General features: G+C 49.8%; 2 protein-coding genes across 86 annotated transcripts in view, besides 11 other annotated features; one reads left to right on the forward strand and one right to left on the reverse strand.

Annotated features, from left to right (window-relative positions):
- Nucleotides 1–13,915, reverse strand: part of ANKMY1 (ankyrin repeat and MYND domain containing 1) — a 92,433-nt gene extending 78,518 nt beyond the window's left edge. For 34 of the 84 annotated variants that reach the window (XR_007076387.1, XM_047444678.1, XM_047444674.1 and 31 more), the window contains exons 1-4: nucleotides 13,582–13,915; nucleotides 10,041–10,203; nucleotides 7,717–7,906; nucleotides 5,765–5,908 (exon numbers count right to left, since the gene is read on the reverse strand). Coding sequence is in view for 67 of the 84 variants with exons in the window: in XM_047444678.1 (XP_047300634.1) it covers nucleotides 5,765–5,908; nucleotides 7,717–7,906; nucleotides 10,041–10,203; nucleotides 13,582–13,801 (717 nt within the window). In the remaining 17 variants the exon portion in view is untranslated. Of the gene's footprint in view, nucleotides 1–5,764; nucleotides 5,909–7,716; nucleotides 7,907–10,040; nucleotides 10,204–10,731; nucleotides 10,840–11,154 lie in introns of those variants that run through there. The other 50 variants (NR_171698.1, NR_171696.1, NR_148697.3 and 47 more) reach the window with 11 other exon arrangements.
- Nucleotides 4,725–4,824: a silencer, noted in NCBI's record as "silent region_12512". NCBI's record gives its function as "represses an Ori minimal core promoter by ATAC-STARR-seq in GM12878 lymphoblastoid cells {active_cell/tissue: GM12878}" and the evidence as "EXISTENCE:reporter gene assay evidence [ECO:0000049][PMID:35858748]".
- Nucleotides 8,033–8,533: an enhancer, noted in NCBI's record as "H3K4me1 hESC enhancer chr2:241494599-241495099 (GRCh37/hg19 assembly coordinates)". NCBI's record gives its function as "activates a minimal SCP1, AML or CMV promoter by ChIP-STARR-seq in naive H9 embryonic stem cells {active_cell/tissue: H9 hESC(naive)}" and the evidence as "EXISTENCE:reporter gene assay evidence [ECO:0000049][PMID:30033119]".
- Nucleotides 9,666–9,735: an enhancer, noted in NCBI's record as "active region_17397". NCBI's record gives its function as "activates an Ori minimal core promoter by ATAC-STARR-seq in GM12878 lymphoblastoid cells {active_cell/tissue: GM12878}" and the evidence as "EXISTENCE:reporter gene assay evidence [ECO:0000049][PMID:35858748]".
- Nucleotides 10,779–10,998: a silencer, noted in NCBI's record as "silent region_12513". NCBI's record gives its function as "represses an Ori minimal core promoter by ATAC-STARR-seq in GM12878 lymphoblastoid cells {active_cell/tissue: GM12878}" and the evidence as "EXISTENCE:reporter gene assay evidence [ECO:0000049][PMID:35858748]".
- Nucleotides 12,905–18,107, forward strand: DUSP28 (dual specificity phosphatase 28). 2 transcript variants are annotated; one of them, NM_001033575.1, is made up of 3 exons: nucleotides 12,905–13,928; nucleotides 14,181–14,370; nucleotides 16,525–16,865. In NM_001033575.1, exons 1-2 carry the CDS (start codon nucleotides 13,536–13,538, stop codon nucleotides 14,316–14,318), a joined length of 531 nt encoding a protein of 176 aa, NP_001028747.1. In that variant the 5' UTR covers nucleotides 12,905–13,535; the 3' UTR covers nucleotides 14,319–14,370; nucleotides 16,525–16,865. The 2 variants fall into 2 exon arrangements, with proteins under 2 accessions (NP_001028747.1, NP_001357394.1); NM_001370465.2 differs by having other exon boundaries at nucleotides 13,208–13,928; nucleotides 14,181–18,107.
- Nucleotides 13,057–13,466: a silencer, noted in NCBI's record as "silent region_12514". NCBI's record gives its function as "represses an Ori minimal core promoter by ATAC-STARR-seq in GM12878 lymphoblastoid cells {active_cell/tissue: GM12878}" and the evidence as "EXISTENCE:reporter gene assay evidence [ECO:0000049][PMID:35858748]".
- Nucleotides 13,647–13,696: a silencer, noted in NCBI's record as "silent region_12515". NCBI's record gives its function as "represses an Ori minimal core promoter by ATAC-STARR-seq in GM12878 lymphoblastoid cells {active_cell/tissue: GM12878}" and the evidence as "EXISTENCE:reporter gene assay evidence [ECO:0000049][PMID:35858748]".
- Nucleotides 13,793–13,934: an enhancer, noted in NCBI's record as "conserved acetylation island sequence C08". NCBI's record gives its function as "activates a minimal heat-shock promoter by reporter assays in Jurkat T cells {active_cell/tissue: Jurkat}" and the evidence as "EXISTENCE:reporter gene assay evidence [ECO:0000049][PMID:17135569]".
- Nucleotides 13,967–14,036: an enhancer, noted in NCBI's record as "active region_17398". NCBI's record gives its function as "activates an Ori minimal core promoter by ATAC-STARR-seq in GM12878 lymphoblastoid cells {active_cell/tissue: GM12878}" and the evidence as "EXISTENCE:reporter gene assay evidence [ECO:0000049][PMID:35858748]".
- Nucleotides 14,067–14,426: an enhancer, noted in NCBI's record as "active region_17399". NCBI's record gives its function as "activates an Ori minimal core promoter by ATAC-STARR-seq in GM12878 lymphoblastoid cells {active_cell/tissue: GM12878}" and the evidence as "EXISTENCE:reporter gene assay evidence [ECO:0000049][PMID:35858748]".
- Nucleotides 17,472–17,621: an enhancer, noted in NCBI's record as "active region_17400". NCBI's record gives its function as "activates an Ori minimal core promoter by ATAC-STARR-seq in GM12878 lymphoblastoid cells {active_cell/tissue: GM12878}" and the evidence as "EXISTENCE:reporter gene assay evidence [ECO:0000049][PMID:35858748]".
- Nucleotides 17,752–17,831: an enhancer, noted in NCBI's record as "active region_17401". NCBI's record gives its function as "activates an Ori minimal core promoter by ATAC-STARR-seq in GM12878 lymphoblastoid cells {active_cell/tissue: GM12878}" and the evidence as "EXISTENCE:reporter gene assay evidence [ECO:0000049][PMID:35858748]".
- Nucleotides 18,108–18,400: the final 293 nt, after the last annotated feature.

Raw genomic sequence — 18,400 nt, forward strand, 5'->3', positions numbered from 1 at the left:
TAACAAACTATCCTCTCAGACCACAGTGCAATCAAACTAGAACTCAGTATTAAGAATCTCACTCAAAACCGCTCAACTACATGGAAACTGAACAACTTGCTCCTGAATGACTACTGGGTACATAACGAAATGAAGGCAGAAATAAAGATATTCTTTGAAACCAACGAGAACAAAGACATAACATACCAGAATCTCTGGGACGCATTCAAAGCAGCGTGTAGAGGGAAATTTATAGCACTAAATGCCCACAAGAGAAAGCAGGAAAGATCCAAAATTGACACCCTAACATCACAATTAAAAGAACTAGAAAAGCAAGAGCAAACACATTCAAAAGCTAGCAGAAGGCAAGAAATAACTAAAATCAGAGCAGAACTGAAGGAAATAGAGACACAAAAAACCCTTCAAAAAATTAATGAATCCAGGAGCTGGTTTTTTGAAAGGATCAACAAAATTGATAGACTGCTAGCAAGACTAATAAAGAAAAAAAGAGAGAAGAATCAAATAGATGCAATAAAAAATGATAAAGGGGATATCACCACCGATCCCACAGAAATACAAACTACCATCAGAGAATACTACAAACACCTCTACGCAAATAAACTAGAAAATCTAGAAGAAATGGATAAATTCCTCAACACATACACTCTCCCAAGACTAAACCAGGAAGAAGTTGAATCTCTGAATAGACCAATAACAGGAGCTGAAATTGTGGCAATAATCAATAGTTTACCAACCAAAAAGAGTCCAGGACCAGATGGATTCACAGCCGAATTCTACCAGAGGTACAAGGGGGAACTGGTACCATTCCTTCTGAAGCTATTCGAATCAATAAAAAAAGAGGGAATCCTCCCTAACTCATTTTATGAGGCCAGCATCATCCTGATACCAAAGCCGGGCAGAGACACAACCAAAAAAGAGAATTTTAGACCAATATCCTTGATGAACATTGATGCAAAAATCCTCAATAAAATACTGCCAAACCGAATCCAGCAGCACATCAAAAAGCTTATCCACCATGATCAAGTGGGCTTCATCCCTGGGATGCAAGGGTGGTTCAATATACGCAAATCAGTAAATGTAATCCAGCGTATAAACAGAACCAAAGACAAAAACCACATGATTATCTCACTAGATGCAGAAAAGACCTTTGACAAAATTCAACAACACTTCACGCTAAAAACTCTCAATAAATTAGGTATTGATGGGACGTATCTCAAAATAATAAGAGCTATCTATGACAAACCCACAGCCAGTATCATACTGAATGGGCAAAAACTGGAAGCATTCCCTTTGAAAACGGGCACAAGACAGGGATGCCCTCTCTCACCACTCCTATTCAACATAGTGTTGGAAGTTCTGGCCAGGGCAATTAGGCAGGAGAAGGAAATAAAGGGTATTCAATTAGGAAAAGAGGAAGCCAAATTGTCCCTGTTTGCAGACGACATGATTGTATATCTAGAAAACCCCATTGTCTCAGCCCAAAATCTCCTTAAGCTGATAAGCAACTTCAGCAAAGTCTCAGGATACAAAATCAATGTACAAAAATCAAAAGCATTCTTATACACCAACAACAGACAAACAGAGAGCCAAATCATGAGTGAACTCCCATTCACAATTGCTTCAAAGAGAATAAAATACCTAGGAATCCAACTTACAAGGGATGTGAAGGACCTCTTCAAGGAGAACTACAAACCACTGCTCAAGGAAATAAAAGAGGATACAAACAAATGGAAGAACATTCCATGCTCATTGGGAGGAAGAATCAATATCGTGAAAATGGCCATACTGCCCAAGGTAATTTACAGATTCAATGCCATCCCCATCAAGCTACCAATGACTTTCTTCACAAAATTGGAAAAAACTACTTTAAAGTTCATATGGAATCAAAAAAGAGCCCGCATCGCCAAGTCAATCCTAAGCCAAAAGAACAAAGCTGGAGGCATCACACTACCTGACTTCAAACTATACTACAAGGCTACAGTAACCAAAACAGCATGGGACTGGTACCAAAACAGAGATATAGATCAATGGAACAGAACAGAGCCCTCAGAAATAACGCCGCATATCTACAACTATCTGATCTTTGACAAACCTGAGAAAAACAAGCAATGGGGAAAGGATTCCCTATTTAATAAATGGTGCTGGGAAAACTGGCTAGCCATATGTAGAAAGCTGAAACTGGATCCCTTCCTTACACCTTATACAAAAATCAATTCAAGATGGATTAAAGACTTAAACGTTAGACCTAAAACCATAAAAACCCTAGAAGAAACCTAGGCATTACCATTCAGGACATAGGCATGGGCAACGACTTCATGTCTAAAACACCAAAAGCAATGGCAACAAAAGCCAAAATTGACAAATGGGATCTAATTAAATTAAAGAGCTTCTGCACAGCAAAAGAAACTACCATCAGAGTAAACAGGCAACCTACAAAATGGGAGAAAATTTTCACAACCTACTCATCTGACAAAGGGCTAATATCCAGAATCTACAATGAACTCAAAACAAATTTACAAGAAAAAAACAAACAACCCCATCAAAAAGTGGGTGAAGGACATGAACAGACACTTCTCAAAAGAAGACATTTATGCAGCCAAAAAACACATGAAAAAATGTTCACCATCACTGGCTATCAGAGAAATGCAAATCAAAACCACAATGAGATACCATCTCACACCAGTTAGAATGGCAATCATTAAAAAGTCAGGAAACAACAGGTGCTGGAGAGGATGTGGAGAAACAGGAACACTTTTACACTGTTGGTGGGACTGTAAACTAGTTCAACCATTGTGGAAGTCAGTGTGGCGATTCCTCAGGGATCTAGAACTAGAAATACCATTTGACCCAGCCATCCCATTACCGGGTATATACCCAAAGGACTATAAATCATGCTGCTATAAAGACACATGCACACGTATGTTTATTGTGGCATTATTCACAATAGCAAAGACTTGGAACCAACCCAAATGTCCAACAATGATAGACTGGATTAAGAAAATGTGGCATATATACACCATGGAATACTATGCAGCCATAAAAAATGAGTTCACATCCTTTGTAGGGACATGGATGAAATTGGAAATCATCATTCTCGGTAAACTATCGCAAGAACAAAAAACCAAACACCGCGTATTCTCACTCATAGGCGGGAATTGAACAACGAGAACACATGGACACAGGAAGGGGAACATCACACTCTGGGGACTGCTGTGGGGTGGGGGGAGGGGGGAGGGATAGCATTGGGAGATATACCTAATGCTAGATGACGAGTTAGTGGGTGCAGCATACCAGCATGGCACATGTATACATATGTAACTAACCTGCACATTGTGCACATGTACCCTGAAACTTAAAGTATAATAATAATAAATTTAAAAAAAAAGATCTTACTCTTGATGAAGGTAAATTTTTGATCTTAAATTAACTTTTTTTGGATATTAGGCTTCCTGAAGTCCAAGAAAGACATATTAGGCTTATTTGTTATATTAGAATTATACCGGAAGCATTGTAAATTGTGAGGTGGTATTTAACTTTCTTTGGGTTTTATTTATATACATGTTATTAATATGTGTTCCAGGATTTATGACATTCTTGAAATTCTAATATGTTTAAATATATGTTGTCAACAATAGTTAATGATTATTATGTTAAATTGTTGTATGACACAGAAATAACCAAATTTCCTTGTCATCTCTATCTTTTGACTATGGCTGCCTTAAGACTTTTGTCATCCACAATTGTTTTGCTTTGATCTTTCTCAAAAAAAGTGACTTGTAATCAGCTACCGTCCAGGGCTTGCTTCTTTGGGGGAGTTCCTGAAAAGGACTATTGAATTCAGGTGTCTGATAACTTTGGCGATTGTGCCACTGGATGAGAGAGAAAACTTCCACTGCACTAATTGGAAGGCTGATGTGTTCATAAACATTGCTCACCCAATATGACACAGGGCAGGAGCTGACTGCATGGACTCAGCTAACAGAACACTGGAATGCTTTTTATGTTTTTTTTTTTTTTGAAATATTGCTGATTCTTCTTTTGTCTTTCAGAGTCAGGATAATTTTTTTCTTTTGAGCTATTCATAACCTTGAAATATACTTTAAGTGTACTGAGTAGAGTATACATTTGTAAACAAAATTTGAGTCATATTTCTCTCTGCCTAATTTCTCCAGAATTTTTAAACTATTTGTGAATATTCTTAATTCATGGCAACGTGTTTGTTTGCATATGTTTAATAAGAATCTGTTTTATTTTATAATGGGACACAGCTGGGGGAACTGGTTATTTTCCCAAGGCTTTAACTGAAATGGCCTTGCGAGAGGTTCCGGCAAAGCCAGTTTAGGACAGCCTATGCGAACCACAGTTCTTGCTGTGCTTTGTGTGGGTGATCAGGGCACCAGGAAACTGAAGCTTATTTTGCAAGTAGGTTGTCCTACTGTTATTTGTCTTTGATGCAAGTGGGGGAATGGAAAGAGATTGTCTTTTAGAAGAAAACTCTATTTAGATTAACCTTTGATTCCTAAGTGACCACATGGTCACCCATGGTATGGAGCTGCCCACAACGCCCCTCCTCAGCATGGAGCAGCCAGAAAGACCCACAACCTGATTCCCCATGGTTGAGGAACTGATAAACAAAAAGGGGGGACTGAAACCAGCCCAGTAATCCTACAGAGAGTTGTTTCCAGATAAACATAGAAATTGACCCTTCTGGTCTTAAAGCTTGAAACTTAAATTTGTTTTATCTGAGTTTCTTCCTCAGGAAAGACCTTCAGGCCTCTCAAAAAGTATCAAAGAGCTGAAACTCCTCTCAGAAAGTATCAAAGAACTGAAACTCACCAGACCATGGCATTCAATGTGACTCCAGGCCCTTTGTTCACCGTGACTGCTTCCTCACCCCTCCCAAGTTCCTGCTTTCTCACACATTATTACATTTCTTCCTTGATATATAAACCCCTAGTTTTAGTCAGGGGGATGGATTTGAGATTAAGCTCCCATCTCTTCAGCTGCACCTCCAAATTACAGCCTTCTTCCTTGGCAATACTCATTGTCTCAGTGATGGGCTTTCTGTGCAGGAAGCGGAAAGATCTAGAGCGAACCCCTGGTGTTTCAGTAACAGCCACTCATATTGGCTCAGAATAAACCTCTTTAAAATATTTTGCAGAGTTTGTTTTTTTTCTGTTGACACCATTAATATGGCATTCTCACAAGGGCAAAATTCTAGGCCAAAATAGATCAGCCACAGTTTGTTGAAGGAGACATTTATTACAAAGGCCATGGCAATATTTTGAGGGTGATGGAACTGTTTGTATATCCTGACTACAGTAGTAGTTACACAACCCTGTAATTGTCAAAAATTTCAGAACTATATATTAAAATGGGTGAATTTTACTGTAAATTATACTGTAATAAAAGGGGGAAAGGCATCTGTATTTGAAAGACTAGGCATGTTCTCCATTTAAAAAGGCACATTTCAAACATTATGTGTACAGTGATCCAGTTTACATATTTAAAAATAAACACGTGCGTTTCTTAAATCTAAAGGACATGTAACAATTTGCTGGTATCCCTCTGGGGAATAAAATGCAAGGAGGCTTTTATTTTCAGTCTATATCCTTATTATTGGTACCATTTTAATCATTAAAAGTAAAAAAGCTACTTGTAGCTAAACAAATAAACTTCCCCAGGACCGAAATATCTTTTTGTCCAGTGGCTTAGACACACACAGCCACTTCGACCCCAGCTGAACACATGGCAGCCCCCTCACCTGGAAAAGCCGTGTCTTCATGTACATGGTGCCGTAGCCTTCTCGGTGGCTGAGGTAAAATGTGCCCGTGAAACTGGAGCCATCTGGCCACATGTAGGTACCCAGGCCATGGCAGTGGTCCCGGTAAAACTGCCCATGGTATGACTGTGAGATGGAGAAGTTGGTGAGAAATTGCTGCTCTTCCAGAACCTGACGGGATGCCCTTGAGGCTGAGCCACCATGCCTGGTTGGCAATGAATGGGGACCACCCAGGGCTGTGGCAGAACTCAGGGATGCCTGGCATGCGACTATTAGAGTCGGCAACTGAAGCACCCAGAGGGGTTACCAGGCAGTCAGCCTGATAGCCAGGCTCCCTCTCTGTCTTCTCCTCAGGTGGGGGACTGTGGGGAGGCTTAAAACTACCTAGACATCCTGAGTCAGGAGAGCACGGACATGCCTTCTCCCTGGTGACCTTGATCTTAGGTTTGGAGGGTCCTGTCCCCACTCAGGAGCCCCATGCTGCTGAGCTCCCTGCCAGGTTCACAGGTGACAGGCTGGCCCTGGAAGGCTGGCTGTAGGCCCCAGTAGGCACAGGGGAGGACTCTGATTTATAACTCTTCAGCACTGGTTGGACACGTGAGCTCCACAAACAACAGGAGTGAGTGTATCAGAGCCTGCCCCTTTACCAAGGCCCCCAGAGGGAAAAAGAATGTGACATTTGGCCGGGTGTGGTGGCTCACATCTGTAATTCCAGCACTTTGGGAGGCCGAGGCAGGCGGATCATCTAAGGTCAGGAGTTCAAGACCAGCCTGACCAACATGGTGAAACCCTGTCTCTACTAAAAATACAAAAATTAGCTGGGCGTGGTGGTGCATGCCTGTAATCCCAGCTACTCAGGAGGCTGAGGCAGGAGAATCACTAGAACCCTGGAGGCAGAGGTTGCAGTGAGCCGAGATTGTGCCATTTGCACTCCAGCCTGGGCAACAAGAGTGAAATTCCATCTCGAAAAAAAAAAAGAATGTGACATTCATGACAAGGGCTTCCAGCCAGGAGACCTCATGCTGAGTGCCAAGCACCACCTTTTTCTCAGAAACAGGGTGGGCCTGGAGTGCCCGCACAGCCATCCATGCTCACAGTCCACCCAGACCTGACCCCGACGTGAAGGGCATGGCAGTTTTCACAGCTTAGTGTCCCTTCCCTTTCTTCTGACAACAGATGCCCTCTCCCTACAGAGAGGATTCCCCAAGGGACCCAGCCCCAGTGCCTGGGCCAGGCCTGGCCAACCAGAGGACGCCTTACCCCTGCCCCATCTTGATGCACTTCATGCATCCCCAAGTCAGACCAGCGTCCTGCTGGGGCCTTTCTCTTTCCCAGGGGTGTTTGATGCCACCCCCAGGGGCTGGGCAGATGGAACAAGGTCAGTCTTAGAACCCCCTCGTGGAGATGGAAAGAGAGAGGACCTAGTTACATCATTAGAATCCTGGATCCAGCCAGGCCTGAGGCTACCTTACCCCTGGACTTTCCATGGCAAGCGCCAACAGAGGCCTTTTCAGTTTCAGCTGCATTGAATGTGGGCTCAGGACCTAGCCTGGGGGTGCAAAACTTGTTCTCATTTTGTCTTTTAGAACATTCGCTGCCTTCTGCTTAAGCCTAGACACAGGCAATTTCACCAAGGTAAATATACGAGTTGCTATGGCAATTCATAATTTTAAAACGTCTGCCCAGAATAAGAACTTATCTTCTTAAGTCACAGCTTCCCAAACCTCATCCTGGGACCCCAGCAAACCATGGGTGTGATTTTGGAAGTTGGGAAAGATGCTTTTCTCTGGACATTTCTCAAGGAGGAAAAACTTTAGCCTAGCACCCTTCCTGTTGATGGGCCTAAAAGTTCCCGTCCCATCACTCTTGGAAGGATAAAGGCCAGCCACCAGAGGCCCTAGGGGAGGAGGCGGAGAAAGTGTGGAAGCAGTTACCTCGCCTGTGGGCCAAGAGAATTTGCCATATCCAAGCTTCATGTTCAACCCAAACTCCCCCTGGTACATGCAACCATCCTGCCACTCCTGCACACCCTGGACGAGCTGGATGTAGGACTCCCTCAGGTCCTGCGCCCTCAGCGGGCCCTCAGCTTCCTCCTCTTCCTTCTCAGGGGCTGCTGAAACATCCCTAAAAGGACAGGAGCAGAAGGAGGGAAGAGTGAAGTGGCTGCAGTGCCTTCAGTGACTGCTGAGCACAACCCCCGAGCACAACCCAGCATCTCATTTCATCCCACAGTCCCGGGGCAGGTGCCGCTGCATCCCCACTCCACTTGGAGAGAAAACCGAGGCACAGAGGGTGCAGCGATTGCCCAAGGCCACACAGGAAGTGGAATGCACAGTAAGGCTGCCAACGGATAGGAGAGATGCTGCCAGGCTCTAGAGGCAGGACCAGTCGGCCTGTCCAGCCCGGGCCTGCTGGCGGCATCTCCTGAGATCGATGGCCCTCTGTCCCACTCCAGCTGCCTGCAGGACGTGGGTGCCCACAGCAGGGTCCTCATTCAAGGGCCAGGAGTGCCAGCCCCAAGCTGGACAGAAAACAGACTGCCCACACATGTGGACCCATGGAAGGTCGGAAGGCAGCTCGAGAGGCAGCCAGCTCATACTAGGATGGACAGGTGGATAGGTGGACAGATGGATGGATGCAGGGCTGGGGAGTATGCTGCAACAGCGGGGAGCACAAACCAGGGTGGATTTGCCGTAACTCATAGGGCGTCCACAGACAGACAGGGCATGTCAGACCCCCCACAGATGGACAGGGCGTCTCAGACCACCACAGACGGATGGGGCGTCTTAGACCATCACAGACGGACGTGGCATCTCAGACCACAAAAGGCGTGGTGCCTCAGACCTCCACAGATGGATGGGGTGTCTCAGACCCCTACAGAAGGACAGGGCATCCCAGACCAACACAGGTGGATGGGGTGCCTCAGACCATGAAAGATGGACAGGGCATCTCAGTTCCCCCCCAGACGGACAGAGCATCTGAGACCCCCACAGATGGATGGGGCGTCTCAAAGGGCCTTCCGTTCTCAGCTGTGCAGGGCGGCCGTCCCTGGCCAAGGTGCCAGCAGCGTCCCTGCCTAGGGAGGGTCCTCTTCCTGGCCTGTGGAGCCGCCTTCTCATTGGCTCCCCACATGGTAGTGAGAGAGGATGGGGGAACTCTGGGCTCTTCTGCTTCTCATAGGTACACTCATCCCATCATGGGCTCCATCTTCACCACCCCATCTAAACCCAGCCACCTCCCAAAGCCCATTGTTGGGAAAAGGGCTTGTGGGAAAAGGGCTTGTGGGGTGCCTGCATAAACAGGCCATGAAAATATGGGACAATAAGTTGTGGAAAGCCACAAGAGGCCTCTGAGGAGGAAAGCCTCCTAATTGCCATCATGTTCCCATGCCCAGAGCGAGATCCGCTCTCTTATCTGTAAACACTGTGTTCAAGGAGAAAGACTCTCCTTTGAAGCCCTGGACTGTGGACAGACATGCAGGCTCCTAGCTAAGCCCGCTCCCACCAGTTACTCTCCGATAAGTTAAAAGATATGCTGTTTGAGCACAAAGGAGATTCACTGAAACCAATATTGCTATAGATTACACCTATGACACACTGCCACCCTTTCACTGTTTCGCCCTGAACATCTGCTTCTCAGATCTAAGTGTGCTCAATAAACAGTGTGGAGACCAGAACTCTGAGCCCTTTGCAGCCTCCATTTTGCAACTGGCCCCCTGGCTCCCCACCTTTCAATTCTTAACCTGTCTCTTCTCAATCCTTTGTCCCCACTAGACTTTGGGCACTCTACGGGTGGTGTTGAGGCTGGTCCCCAACACCCATCACACTGGGCCAGGGCTGGGACTGAGTTTTGGAGGCCCACAAACAGGGACAAGCACGATGGGGTGACAGGGGGACCTCGTGAGATGCTGCAGTGAGACTCCAGGGCAGCCCCTGGCTGTGAACAACAGAGCTGTGAAGATGGAGACAGCTTGGGAGCCCCATCTCGTGAGGGAAACGTTCCCTCCCTCCACTAGGCGGCGACACGGGTGGCAGAGTGTGCAGGCAGGAAGGGACATGAGAAGGTTCCAATTACCATCTATTGTCGTTTTCCTCAGTAGGTTGCTGACACAGTGTTGAGGCTTTCAGATTTCTCCAGAAACTAGTTTCTCAGGGAGTAACACAGTTCAGGGATTTTTACTGCTTGCCTTAAGGAGAATCCCGGCTAACCCTGGGCCCCAGGTCAGGGTCGGACCTCCCCGCTGGAGGGTCCCCCGCACCTTGTGGCGAAGACAGCGTAGTTCTTCAGGGACCCCGGCTCCTCGGCAGCAGGGGTCTCGCCGCCCTTCCCCTCTAGCGGGCGTTGGCGGCTGCCAGCCCCAGAGACTTCGTCCTCTAAGCTAAGGGAGGCATGGGCCCCTTCCATGTCTGTGGTCTTCCAACCTGCAAGCGACGTCAGGACCGCACATGTGCCCCCAGGGCTCCCGCCGCGAACTCAGAGGGCGCCCGAGGCCCGGCCCGCGGCCCCTGAGCCTCAGAGAACCCAAGCCCCTCCCTGAACCGCGCCGGAGCCTGGGCCGCCACCCACAGGTCCCGGACCACCATCCCTGGGAGTCCTCAGGGAGACCTGTCGGAACCATGGGTAAACTTCACCCGCGTCCCCAGGTGTCCCTGTCCCTTCGTGGGCGGGAATCACAGCAAGGGCGGTCGCGGCCACGTGGCCAGGCCAGGCCCGCACCCACTATCGCCCAGGAGGCGCCGCTAACAGCGGGTCTCAGCCACGGGCCTCTGAAGCCAGCGCTCGAGGGTGGGCTCGGGAGACGCCGCGCCCACCTAACCCCACGCCCCCAGCCCCTCGGCCCCTCCCTGGGGTGGGGACCGCGAGCCTGGCGCCCCCCCGCACCCGCCGCCCCACGGAGCTCCGGGATCCCCCTAGCCCCGGCTCCCAGCGCTCCTGTCGCGAGACCGCACCAAGCAAGACTCGAAGAGCTCGCGCCGGACAGCAGGGAGACCGACGGGACTGCAGCCACCGCGGACGCCCGCGCTCCCGTCCCGACTGCTTGCCAGCCCTGCGCCTACGGAGAGCGTCGCGTTTCCCTGGAGACAGCCCCGCCCCATGCCCGCTGCCACTCTCCGGCTCCGCCAATCCCCCCGCCAGGACGCACCCGGCCCCGCCTCCGGGCGTGCCCGCCCTCTGTGACTTCAGGGGCTTGGGGCCGACACCCCGCGGGCCTCGGTGCCAGCCTCCCGCTTACCCGGTCAGCCCCTGGGCCGAGTACCCCTGGGAGAGAAAGCGCTAAATTCCCCCAACACTCCCGTGATGGGGGCACAGGGAGCGCCGTGGGACACCTGAGGAAACTGAGGCCCAAGTGTTAATTAACTTGCCCTGATCACCTAGCACGTGGAGCCACGACTTGCTCAAGCCCTGCCTGATTCCAGCCCCGGCCTTTGTTCATTCAGTAAATGTGGAAGGCGCAAGGGTAACTCGAGGCCTGCGGAGGGAACGAGATGAGGGAGGCCGCAAGAGTCACCGCAGAGAAGAGGGATTGGCTGTCTTGGACCCTCCGAGGGCCTCGGGGAAGGACTGCAGGAGAGCGGATTCTTGATGGGGCTTCACAGGATGCGCAGGAGCTCTCCAGGCTACAGAGCGCATTTCAGGAACTGGACTGGGATGTACAGAGGCACCATGGTGGGAAACAGCTGGGCCTTCCTGCAAAGAGGGGAGAGGCTCTTGGAGGTGCAGGGCTTGCGTTTTCTCAACCCAGACTGCCTCTGAGAACAGGGCAGGGGGTGTGAAGAGCTGATGCCCTGGCCCTCCCCACTGGCTAGCTTTCCGGGGACTAAGGACTAAGGCTGGGCCAGGATTCTGGGGTTCTAGGGGCTCTGCCTCCACACGCCAGTGCCTGTCTGTTGAGTTCACTTCTCTCTAAAATCTCATTTTACACCACGACCCAGTACAAACCACTCAGAAAAATGTTTCATTAAAAGTTCGGCATACTACATGCATGCACTCTAATATTTTCATGTAGTCTATTATTTCTCTAAAAACTAAAATGCTGATCATGACCCACAGAATTGATTTCACAACCCACATTAGTTGTGAATTACAACTTGCTAAGGAGTCAGAACCAACATGTAGAAACCCTCTGTTCTTAGCAAGCACATTCTGGTTACACTGTGGGGGACTAGCACCAAGTCCAGGAGACAGAGGCTGGCCCAGACTAAGTGTGGCAATGAGATGCAGAGACACTTAGGATGAATTGGTTCCCAATCCATTACCTCAATGGAGTGGGAGCATGATGGTTCAAGTAGCAGGCTTTGGAGCAGAAAACCCACCTCAACCATCCTCCAACCGTAAAGGGTGATGATGATTCATGAAACAGTCCAGGAGGAGGAGGGACTTCAGGTTTTGTTTGATTCATTTCAGTGGCCCAACAGTGGCATCAAGGACCTTGGCTCTCCCATCTCCTCTGCTTTCACCCAAGGCTGGCTTCCCCTTATGGCCATGAGAGAACAGAGGAGCCTTCCAAAGTGCTCTCTCCTTCATGGGTTATTAGACACCAAGCTCATTCCCAGAGCAGTCACGGGAGTGTGGCCTTCACTTTTGGCCAGAGACAGAGCCAACTCCTAGAAAGCGGAGGGAGACAGTGTCCCAACCTAATCAATGGCTCCCATGAACGCCAGGGAAAAAAAGGGAATTCCACTCCTCCATCCTAGGAAAGTTGGAGTCCTTCCTTAGGGTGGAGGAAGTGGGAAACAGATGCTGATAAGACCTCCACGGAGGTGATGTCTGGAGCTGCAACCAGGGAAGACCTGGCTGCAGACATATTTGAGTCTTTAGCTCAAGAGTGAACCCCAGGCTGCAATAAAGATCTGACAGTTACCAATGCTAGAAGGCTGATGGACAAAGCAATGACGATAACCCAGAGAGAGACTGTATGCAACTGAAACTTCAATTGCTAAATGTCTGTAGGGCTGTTGAGACAGTTGCTTTTCAGTGTATCCATTGCCTGAAAATTACCAGATGTCAGAAAAATTGAAGGAGTCTTAAATGGCAATTTCATGGACATTAAGTGATATTAAATTTTTTAAAGTTACAATGCTGACCCCAATAAATTACTTAGAAACAGCAAAAGGAATAGTGTGGTCTATGAAGAAGTGATGAAAATAGAAATTAGTTTTATTTTATGAGCCATGTGTTATAATACATAGAAAAAAATGCACCAATTACAAAGCGGGCCACAAAAAGGAATAAACGTAAAGCCGACAACGCAGTCACTAGGGAAAGGGTGAAGACACGGGAACCACGCAGCCCGCCGTCCACGTGCACCGGGTAGCCACGGGGCCCTAGCCGAACGACGCGGACGCGAAGTGGGCGGGCCCGGCCAAGCCACGCCTCCGCGCCAGACGCCGCAGTAGAGCGGGCAGGGCGCTGCGCCCAAGAGCCACAGACGCAAGCCCAGTGCCACAGGCCGCGGGGGCGGGGAGGACGGCGCCCGGGGACAGAGAACATGGGACGCAGAGCGGTCCAAGGCCCCGGCGCCCTGGTGAGGCCCAAACCTCCCGCCATGCCCCGGCCCCAACGAGACCCAAGCCCCCTGTCCCGGCCCAGCGCCCGCGGGGGACCCAAGCCCCAGCCTGGTCCACCTCGGAGGCCTCTAGGACCCGGGGGCGCCCGGCGGCCCGCCCGGCTCCCACAAATAGACTCCTGGGCGGGCGCCTGAGCCCCCAAAATAGATCCTCAGGGCCCAAAAGCAGACTCTTCGGCGGGCGCCATGGGACCGGCAGAAGCTGGGCGCCGCGGGGCCGCCTCGCCCGTACCTCCACCGTTGGTGCGCGTCGCGCCCTCACTCTTCCTCGGGAGCGCGCGAGCCGCGGGCGCGGAGGAGCAGCTGGCGCGCGCGGGAGTCACGCTGTGCGTCAACGTCTCCCGCCAGCAGCCCGGCCCGCGCGCGCCCGGCGTGGCAGAGCTGCGCGTGCCCGTGTTCGACGACCCGGCTGAGGACCTGCTGGCGCACCTGGAGCCCACGTGCGCCGCCATGGAGGCCGCGGTGCGCGCCGGCGGCGCCTGCCTAGTCTACTGCAAGAACGGCCGCAGCCGCTCGGCCGCCGTCTGCACCGCGTACCTCATGCGGCACCGCGGCCTCAGCCTGGCGAAGGCCTTCCAGGTGGGCGGGCCTTTAGGGGGGCGGTGTTTCGAGAGGGGCGTGTCTTCCGGGGACGAGTTTTCCGGGCGGGGCCGGCTTCGGGATTGGGACAGGCACTTCCGGGAGGGGCGGGTCTCTCTCGTGAGGGCGGGCTTAGGGAAGCAGAGAGGCACTTCCGGGTTGGGCGGGGCCCACTCTTACAGCTGGGCCCGCCTTGGCCCCTGCTGGCCATTAGCGCGACTTGGGGTTATTCAGTACACTTCTTGTTTGCAGATGGTGAAGAGCGCTCGCCCGGTAGCAGAACCGAACCCGGGCTTCTGGTCTCAGCTCCAGAAGTATGAGGAGGCCCTCCAGGCCCAGTCCTGCCTGCAGGGAGAGCCCCCAGCCTTAGGGTTGGGCCCTGAGGCTTGAAGCTTGAAGGCCTGCTGCCTGGAGGAAGGATGTCCCTGCACTGATACAGAAGGCTGGTCTTTACCCTTCTTCCTCACTGTCATATCGAGTTTTCCTTTGTGTGTGTGTGTGTGAAACATAGTGCTTTTAATTTTATATTTCCGGCTGAGGTGATGCACAAATTATCTTACAGACACAAAAAGAAATACATTTGGTAAAACATCGAAGACAAATTAAGAAAAAGCAAATAGGGATCCTCCATTATTTACACTCCAGAATCTTGAGTGTTTGGGGGTGCCGGCGCATTCTACCAGTCTCAGGGAAGGACATGAGTACAGACTACAGTAATCAGAATCTGAGTCATAGGTGAAATCAGGAAAAGCAACTCTTCTTGTGTTTATTTTTAGTAGTGTCATAAGAACGGACTAGTTCTTCCTGCGTGACCACGGATGCTTCTGTTTGAGAAAATGCATACCCACGTGGGACATTTAGATCAAGAAAGCTGTTGATGAAGACATTGTTGAAGGGCAACTTGGGTGATTGGGGAATTATTCTCTTCATCAGCCCCTCTGCAATACAGCTGGAGCTGTCCCATAGGAGTTCGGACAATTACGGACATCCTTTTTCTTTCTCTCTTTCTTTTTTTTTGTTTGTTTGTTTGAGACAGAGTCTCTGTTGCCCAGGCTGGAGTGCAGTGGCGCAATCCCGGCTCACTGCAACCTCCGCCTCCCTGGTTCAAGTGATTCTCCTGCCTCAGCCTCCTGAGTAGCTGGGACTACAGGTGTGTGACACCAGACCCGGCTAATTTTTTGTATTTTTAGTAGAGATGGGGGGTTTCACCATGTTAGCCAGGATGGTCTCAAACTCCTGACCTCGTGATCCACCCACCTCAGCCTCCCAAAGTGCTGGGATTACAGGCGTGAGCCACCGTGCCCAGCCTCCTTTTTCTATTACTAGAGAACTCCAGGACATTAAGAATTTCAAAAGTGATTTTTTCACCCATGGCTTCTACGGTGACAGAGTATGGTGTTCCTGTAGGGAAACAAAGCCAAGTTTTTTTGCTCCTTTCACTAAAGCTGCTTCATCCGGGGAGGAAGCCTGGTAGATTATAATATTTCCAGGGATAACAGTGTGGCACACAGATAACAGGGTAAGAAATTGGTCTATATAGTTTTCTGTGGGATGGCCATTCTCAATGTTCTCCAATAAACTGGGGTAATTAAAATATCAGGGCTCGGATGGAAGGTGTTGCACCATAAATGACACCTGCAGTGGTACTTGTTAAATGTCTTAACATTGCAAGTGAGGGTTCCCATTTTATCAGAAAATAGAAATTTTACCTGCCCAAGTTCTTCACTGAGATTGAATGTGCTGGCCATGGTGTGGACACTATTTACTTTATAATGCACATCTTGATCCCAGTTTATAAACTGGGCCTGAATATATTTCACAATTTCCATAGTGACCAGCAGACTAATGGGGATGAGGTACTGTTATAAGATGATGAACACCAGTATGTCAAACACAATGCTGTGAGCTGGAATCCTCTTTCAGGTACCAAATGTCACCATACTTTTTATTCCATAGCACGGCTCCCACGCAGCTCACTACAGACATGACCAGAGCAGCAGGAACCAAAGGGAGACCCGCCCATTGTCACTTTCTTAATCTCTGATCTCTTGAGGTGATTTGACAGAATTCTGCAGGAATTTGGTTTCAAAGCCAGTGTAAACAACTATGCCAGTGATCCACTGAGCATTTCTTTTTTTTTTTTCTTGAGACGGAGTCTCACTCTGGTGCCCAGGCTGGAGTGGGCGCCATCTTGGCTCACTGCAAGCTCCGCCTCCCGGCTTCATGCCATTCTCGTCCTTCAGCCTCCTGAGTGGCTGGGATTACAGGCGCCCGCCACCACGCCTAGCTAATTTCTTTGTATTTTTGGTAGAGACGGGGTTTCACTGTGTTAGCCAGGATGGTCTCAATCTCCTGACCTCATGATCCTCCCGCCTCGGCCTCCCAAAGCGCTGGGATTACAGGCGTGAGCCACCTCGCCCGGCCAATCCACTGAGCATTTCTAAGCTGTGTATCTCTTAACAAGACCCAGTCAGGCCCTATTGGAACAGGGCTTTTACCACCTAGGCGGAAGCTCAGCCATTGAAATGACGATCAGGTGCTTCACGGTCTATTTTTCCAGATAGGCCTAACAGCTGGTTTTCTGTTTGCATTTCAGCTGTTTCTGGCAAAGCCTGCCGTGTCTTACATTTGTCTCTCTATCCGGATTAGATGTTGCTATATGAACACATCGGGACTGTGTCTGCAGGAAGGAGCTCCCCATTCGAGGCCTTCACAGTGTCACCCACATTCACCTCTTTCCACTTAAACGTGTCCCATGAATCTTGTCATAACAGTTTTGTGTTCCTTAACTATTTTGTCTGCCATGTCATTTATGATGTATATAACCTCTTTAATGCCTGAAATCATAAGAATAATCATCAAAGGCAAGAGGGTTGTATATTTTCCCGTTGGAGACACATCTGGAATTTGCTGCAATAAAATAATAATAAGAAAGCATTGGCAGCTTTGGTAAACTGCAGATTCAAAAATCGAGGGAGAAATGAGCACACGCTGTACTTGGCTGTACATATAATTGCTGACTGTGGGTTGCAGAAATTTCTCTCAAGCATCATCACCACTTTTGCTCAGTTATCAGTAGTAATAACAGCAATCAAAACTGAAACTGCTCCAGATGCCTGTCTAGGAAGTATGGTTTTCCATCCTTCCTACTGCTTTCTTCACAAGAGAATCCTCCACCTCAGTGGCCCTGAAGTGGCCTGAAGGGCCCGCTCTGCGGTCCTGCCACCAGTGCCCTCTGAGGTCCATGGTCCCACGGCACCACGGCCGCCCAGTGCACTCGCCTCCACACTGAGTTTTCATTTTTCCCAGTTAAGCCCCATCTTCCGGAAATGCAGCTCCAGAGGGTCTCTGTCCCCTCTTGCTGGTGGGGCAAGGGTCTGCGCATCAGACCACATGGACCCCTGCACCACCATCTGCTCCGTCCTCTCCCTCTGGTCAGCTCAGCTTATTAAACAAGCCTTGGTCAGGAAAATCTAAACCACTTAAGGAACTGGGCAGAAAGAAACTGAATGCAGGGAGAAGAAGGCTGGGGAGCCAAGGACAGGAGAGGAGACATAGGGGAGTCACAGGGACCTGCCACCCAGATCCCCACTGCCTGATGTCCTGGCTGTGGAGGGCACCTGGAGCTGCCAGCAGAGCCTCCTGCCCACCAGCTGCTGAAGCCACAGTACATCTCCTTCCTCCCACCTCCCAGACCTCTCACTGGTCTCATCTGGGCACCGAACATGGGAAGCCCCTCCTGTGACAGGCAGGGGAGAAGGAGGCTGTGCTGACAGACGGCCTGGTGAGGGAACCCGGGAGGCCTCCAGCATCTGCACCCCTCTCCTACTTTGATCTCTGTTTCACCAACATTGCACCCCAACTTAAGGTCACATAGCTACTGTCAAGCCAACAAGGTGCTGCCTCTCCCGCCGTGTGAGGGTGGAACCCCATAAGCCACCACTGGAGGCATCCAAGCATGTTGATTCCTTCTCTAGTTCAGACACCACCTCTCCTGGACATCCTGTGGCCTAAAGACTATCCTAGAATCAACACTCCTTAAATAGGAGTGGGGAAAGAAAAGGAAAATGTGTGTAATACATGTGAATCACAGATAACGTAGTCATTGGTTAATATATACAACTACGCGTATTTACATTCTGTATGCGTCAATGAGTAAAATACTGTGGTTGGTGCTTATCTGCCTTTTCCAATACTCGTTCCATGTTCTACCCTCAGCCAGTGCCTAAGCTGCTTATGGCCTTCACCTGGTGGCATGACTCGATCCTTCATTTTTAAGGCCCCAGGCCCTGCATGGCTGCCCACACAGGTGCTGTGGCCTCCGTTACCTGTACTGCACCACCAGAGAGAAGTAGGAGGCACCACTCTTCCTGGCCCCCAAGCCTCACAAAGCCTCATGCCCACCTGCCAGAGCCAGCCCTGTGTTGTCTCATGCTTCCGTGGCTGGGCCGTGTCTGAGCCACCCTCCCAGT

Source organism: Homo sapiens, chromosome 2 (genome assembly GCF_000001405.40).
Source record: "Homo sapiens chromosome 2, GRCh38.p14 Primary Assembly".
Lineage (NCBI taxonomy): Eukaryota > Metazoa > Chordata > Mammalia > Primates > Hominidae > Homo > Homo sapiens.

What these genes read in the sequence shown, in the direction of transcription:
- DUSP28 (NM_001033575.1), top strand. Translation starts at nt 13,536, where the DNA reads ATGGGACCGGCAGAAGCTGGGCGCCGCGGGGCCGCCTCGCCCGTACCT. An exon ending in GCCTGGCGAAGGCCTTCCAG is followed by an intron (nt 13,929 to 14,180) that starts GTGGGCGGGCCT and finishes TCTTGTTTGCAG; the next exon opens with ATGGTGAAGAGCGCTCGCCC.